The following is a 6,627-nucleotide window of genomic DNA, read 5'->3' on the forward strand; positions in this document are numbered from 1 at the left end:
AGATAAATAGATAGTATTTTTTTATTTAGCTCATTGTCTTCTTCAGCTTCAGAGTTTGTTTTCTTTTTAAAATTTTTTATTTCTTCATTGAACTTCTTATTTTCCTTATACAGTTGACTCTTGAACAACACAAGTTTGAACTGTATAGGTCCACTTATACACAGATTTAAAATAAATACAGAGGACTCTTCCTATCCATGGATTCTGACTCCACAACAAATAGTGAATTAAAAATACAGCATTTGTGGGATGCAAAACCGATGTGTATGGAGTGCTGACTTTTCATATTCCTGAGTTTCACAGGACAAATTGCAGAACATGAGTATGCACAGATTTTTGCATCCACAAGGAGTCCTGGAACCAGTTTCCCATTGATACCAAGGGGTCTCTCTTCATATTGTTTTCTGATATTTTTGATCTTTTAAACCTATATTCTTTTGTAGTTCAACTGAGCTTTTCAACAACAATTATTTTGATTTTGTTTGTCGGAAAATTTCTATTTCTTTGGAGTCAGTTACTAGAAATTTATTTTCTTCCTTATTATTTGGTATTGTCATTTTTTTCTTGTTGTTGGTGTACCTGTTGGTGGTGGAGTGCGTATGTGTGTGTGTGTGTGTGTGTGTGTTTCCTGTTGCCTTAAATTAATGTCTATGTAATGGACAATCACCTCTTCTGGACTTTATCAACTAGTTTTAGTGGAGAAAGACCTTCACCTATGTGTGAATGTAAGGGCTCTCTCTGGCTGTGTAGGGTGAGATGGTTCCAGCTCTGGTGAGAGCACTGCCTCTATGAAGCTCTGTCAGCTGAGGCCAGCATTAGTTAAGATTGCAGGGGCCCTCAGCAGCTAGCGTTATGGATGTCTATAAACATAGTAAAGGCTATTGAGGTTTTTTTGGTGAAGCCTGCTGGTGTCCTCCTGTTCTATTTTTTTTTTCTTTTCTTATGGGAGAGAGAATCTCCCTTGGCATCAGGTCCAGGTCATGTACATGCTCTTGGTGATAGTATGCATGTTCGATGCATGATGCCTGTGGTGTGGCCATGGAGCTGGAGTGCAGAGCTCAAGTACACACCAAGCTACAGCACCCCTGGAATCTGGATGGAGGCTAGCTTGTTGTAGGGGTGGCTCCAATTACCAAGGTGCAGGTGATCACAAAGTGCTGTGTAATTAGGATCTGGAGTGCAGGGCAGTATGGAGCAGAGTGGCTCTAAGGTTCAGGGACTACACAGGATTGGGGAGAGTGGTGATCCCAGTGGCAATAAATTTTTATAACTCTTTATTGCCTAAGTATCCATTTTGACTACAAGTTTAACTTTCTCATACCAGAAGTAGAGTTCTGGCACCATTTACAAGAGTCCAGTTCTACATCTCACCCAAATGACTCAAGTCAGTTGCCAGAGATAAGAAGTTAGAGTCATCTCTCCTGCCTAGCAGATTGGGCTCCTTGCTTTCCCACTGCTATCCTTTAAATGAACCATTCAGCTATTTGCCTTTTAACTTAAAGTGACTCACATCCTGTTTCTTTATTTGTACTGCTAGTTGCCACATGCATCTCCCTTTCTCTGCCAAACTCTTCCTTGATGACACACAAGATCCGAGGATGAATGATTGCCCTCTTGAACTCATTACACTTTCCTTGCCTAGAATCTGTAAGTAAAAATCTTTGGATTTATTTTCTGTTCTGGTAGTTACAGAATTTGCACCTTCCATCTGAAGAATTAGAGGCTTCCTCAGGCCCCACTTTCCCTGGGATGCCAGGGAGAACATGAGATCAAGCTCCCAGCTGCAGCATAGAGCAATGGTCAGACAGTCATAACTGGTCAGGAAACAGACTCAAGGAAGTCTTCCAGTATAAACAAGTTTCACATGTGAGAGACCCCTATCTGTGGGTGGGACAACTAGCCATTAGGCTGTCTGCCAGGTAAAAGTAGTGTCATGTGAAAATCACACCATAAAACACCCATATCCAGCTTCCCTTTATTTCCCATTAGAACAGGGTTATTAGCCTCTTTAGTACTGGAACCCCAATGTAGCTGGGGCTTTAATAACACTGATCTCTGAGTGGCACAACAGTAGCTTCTTCTTATGGGTAGGGATACCAGCAGCATCTCCCTCTCCAAGGAGGTTTGTTTCTATGATGGCTGTTGGTTAGCTCAGTGGCAAAAACTGCCAGTATCCTCTGCAGAGCCGGCTGCTGGGGTCCATGCCAATAAACACTAATGGCACCTTTGCTGTGAAGGCTATGGTGAATCGGCAGATGCCATATGGGCTGTTGTAACCCTCAGTGGCAAAGTCTGCCAAGGTGCTCTGCAGAGAAGGCCACTGGGAACCATGTTGGCACTCACCATGTGGCTGGTACTGATATCCATGCCATTTTTGTTGTTGTTGTTGTTCAAGCTCCCAGCTGCGGCATACAGCAATGGTCACACAGTTGTAATTGGTCAGAAATCAGATACAAGGGAGTCTTCTAGTATAAACAAGCTTCCCATGTGAGGGACACTGGTTGTGGGTTGAAAAACTAGCCATTAGGAGGTTCCTCGTCATCTCCAGGAGTCTCAAGTATGCTGATCTTCTCAGTGTTCCTTTGTGTACAGATTTTGTCCATGTTTCCTTGTTCCATGGTGATGCTGAAGGTTTTTAATTGGATTATTTTGCCCTCTTAGTATTTCATTCATTGATATCTGTCTAATTAATTGTTACTTTGCAGGGGGACAGAATGAAGGCTCTGTCTTCTACTCCATCATCTTGTTGGCATCACTCCTGGAAAAGGTACATTAAAAAATAAGTTGAAATATATAGAATTGTGTAATTACTTAGCTATAGAGTTGTATGAAAACATAAATAGTTTTCCAAAAGTGTTTAGATAAATTCAGTGCAATTATAACTACAAGTGCATGTTAAAGGAATCAAGGAGCATTTCTAGTTTTTGAGATTAATTTTATGAAAGCAAATATATCATTTTGGTATATCAGCCAGCTTCTTAGTAACTAGAGATTTCTTTGGCCACATAACATGACTTCTGTATTCTTGTAAGTTTAAAGTATCTAAAAAAAGTAAAATTATTTATAAAAATTTCAATAACCTTCTAACTTTAACACTTGCATCCCTCCAGCCTTTTTAACACTTGCCTCCCTCCAGTCTATTCTCTACTCAATATCTAAAGTAACCTTACAAAAGTAGAAATCAGATGATCGTATCCGTCTTCTACTGAAAACACATCAGTGAATTCTAATCACCTACATTTAGAAAAAAATTGAAACTCTTCATCATCTCCTTCCTGCTTATTTGTGTAACAGATATATGGGGAAATTGTTTAATAGGAACAATGGGTCCACTAGTAAGTTATATAGGGGCTGCAACATTTCAGATAAGTTATTTGTTTGCAGGAAAAGAACACACATACACATACACACACAAACACACATGTGTGCACAAATTCACATATACCCTCTCTGTAAGCTACAGTAAGTTCCCAATTTAGTTAGCAAGGATGTATAAACCTAGCAGTGGAAAGCTGGCCACACAAATCAGGAGCAGATATTGACTATCTGAATACATCTCTTGTTTTCAGAGACCTTGAAAGGGGAAGGTTAATGATGGATCAGTAACTGGGACTCATTTGTGTCTTGGAATATTGTCCATAAGATAGCAATATATAGGAATATTGTCCGTAAGATAGCTATTGCCTTTTATTTGGAAAGAAAATGGGCTAGTTTTAAGTCACAATATGAATTTTTTTCTCTCTTCACCACATTTTTAATTAAATGCCTTGTTGCTCAATAATTCTTTCATTTGGTTTTTCAAAATAAATTGTAAATAATCAAAAATTTTAATACTGAAAAAACCATCCCCACATTAAAACACTTATTCAAATATTAGAATCTCTTCCCAAAGTTGTTTTTATTCCTTTTATCCATAAAGATGGGATACAATGAAGTGCTTAGATGTACTATGTTATTTCTTCAATGCCTAGAGCCTGTGCTTTCCACCGCTGAAGCTGATATAGCTCTTTCAGCAACTTCCAAAGATAGAAACTGTTCAAACATTCCTTGGAAGAAGCAATGGTACACATGAAAGTAACACAAGCTAGTTCTACATCTATCTAATATATAATCAACATTATAACTAAATTAACATACATTAAACAGAAGGAATGCCTCACTTTGCTATTGTCAGTCATGAAGCATACCTAAGAATCCACACTATCCTCTCTACCATGGGGAGAAGACACAGTGTAGACAAAAATCCTGGTTTCAGCTTCACTGGAATGAAAGCTAGTGCAAGCTCACTATCAAGATTTACTACAAGTGAATATGACTCGAGTGGAAGAAATTTTCCATCAAAATGTCAGTTATGGTTTTATGATGTTTATATATTTGGGAGAAACTCACTCATACATGCCTTTTTTTTTTTTTTTTGAGACGGTGTTTTGCTCTTGTCACCTAGGCCGGAGTGCAGTGGCGCGACCTCGGCTCGCTGCAAACTCCGCCTCCAGGGTTCAAGTGATTCCCCTGCTTCACTCAGCCTCTGGAGTAGCTGGGAGTATAGGCGCCTGCCACAACACCTGGCTAATATTTTTGTATTTTTAGTAGAGATGGGGTTTCACCATGTTGGCCAGGCTGGTCTCGAGCTCCTGACCTCAAGTGATCCACCCGCCTCGGTCACCCAAAGTGCTGGGATTACAGGAGTGAGCCACTGCATATGGCCATACGTTATTTTTAGTAGAGACTATTTGAAATACTCTTTCTTATGGAAAAAATAGTTTTATAATATATTTCCTCAAAGTTCCTACTTCTTTTTTTAGTATCTACCCAATATATTTAAAACGTCTTAGTTTCACTTCTTTTTTGAATCTTTCTTACCAGATATTCCAGTGCAAAGTTGAGTGTGGATCATCTTTAGGGATGTAATCTCGACTTCCCTTCGGAGAAAAGGAGAAATACCACATTTGTTGGAAGCCAGTCTCCAAGAAAGGTTATTGACTTTGCGTTACCCACAATCCCAATTTTCCACTTAAATCCCTGTATTTAGAATTCTCAGGCTATCTAGAGCTGTAGTTGTTCTAGAAATTCTCACATACATGGCACATATCTACCTCTTTCCTAAGTTTGCCCTAGCTGAAGGATCACACTCAATAGATTCCTGAAGATAAACTTCTGGTAATTGATACCATTGTTGGTATACTTAGGATGATAGCAAGGATCAATATTTCTTCAGTAATATAAACCTATTAGCTTTCCTTCCTTTAGTACATTCACTTTCCAATCCCTGAATAACTATTTCAGTTACAGCATATGCTTTCTTTTCCATGTTGTCTTTACATGTCTCCTTGGTAAATTCCTCTAATGTTTCATTTTGTCTCAAAAAGACAAAAAAAAAAGATCCTAACTACTTTTATGCAGTACCTGTGGACAAGGTAAAATAAAGAAATAAATAATCCTGCATTTCTGTAGGGTCAAAACTAGTTTTTACATTGGTTATGCATTTCCACCGTTCTACTTATTAACTGCAAGATTAGTATCTGTATTTTATAAATTTCATATATTCTTTTTCTAATTTTCATTAATATATTTCTGCTAATATATTCCATTTAGAAGAGGTCTAGCCCCTTCACTACAGTTTTCTCATAGCTTTTAATAAAATCTGATGGCTAGAGTATGCCAAGAATTCTTGGGTTTTTAACAACTCCTTTGTGTTTTTTTCCCCAGCCCAGAAGATGACATGTTTATATATAATAAAGGGCCTTATTGTTCTTCATCCATTATTGATTACATTACCTGGAAGGTGAATAGGCCATGATCTGTACCTATGACATCTACAGCTTTGGCTGAGCTTATCAACTAAACAAATGAGAATCAATTTAAAAGCACATGGTAGGGACAGTGTGAAAGAGTTGGTGGAAAACCTATAGGAATCTCCAAGTTAATTTTTTCATTGCTTACCCTTTATTACTGCATGAAGTCCAAAACATGATAACAGAGTTTAGGTCTGCCTACTAAAGACAAATACTTGAACTTAATAACAATAATAATACCAATAATTCAAAAGCTGAAGACACAAAGTGTTAATGATTTATAATCTTTTATGAGTTCTCATCTAACAATTAAAGACTATTTTTCTGCATAATACTAACACTTTTCTCCTCAAGCAGTAGACTCTTTCCATGTATTGGCTCAAATTCCTAAGAATTTTCCTACATGACACTGTTAAATTGTGAGATATTTAATACATAATTACCAGAACCTTGAATCTGAAGCATGCTTCTCAGTTCACAGTTTTTCCTGATGCCTATTGTCAAGCTCAGCAGAGCTGCCTGCCTCCAGCTCCAGTATTAGAACTATCCTGGTGTAATGTGCAAAAAAAGAGAACAGAGAGAAGATAGAACAATCATCAAATTCTTACTCTCATATTTCTACAAACATGAAAAGATAAAATCTAAGAGGGAGAACAAGTAAGTCAGGGATTACGGCTACGATTCAGTTTCGAGATTCCACTAATTGATCAGAGAAAAAGAATGGACTGCAAGATGAGCTTAAATCATGTTATTGTTTCACAATCACAAAGACAAGTAAGTAAAAATATAGAGATACATATCTGCCAGATCGATTTTGTTGTCGTTGTGGTTTGAG

General features: G+C 37.9%; 1 long non-coding RNA gene across 1 annotated transcript; it reads right to left on the bottom strand.

Annotated features, from left to right (window-relative positions):
• Positions 1-2,589: 2,589 nt before the first annotated feature.
• Positions 2,590-6,337, bottom strand: LOC105371674 (uncharacterized). Its single transcript, XR_922395.3, has 3 exons — positions 6,236-6,337; positions 4,861-4,919; positions 2,590-2,758 (listed from the first exon to the last, which is right to left on the bottom strand). It is a non-coding gene; the product is annotated as an uncharacterized LOC105371674 (long non-coding RNA).
• Between the last annotated feature and the right edge of the window lie 290 nt (positions 6,338-6,627).

Source organism: Homo sapiens, chromosome 1 (genome assembly GCF_000001405.40).
Source record: "Homo sapiens chromosome 1, GRCh38.p14 Primary Assembly".
NCBI classification, from domain to species: Eukaryota; Metazoa; Chordata; class Mammalia; order Primates; family Hominidae; genus Homo; species Homo sapiens.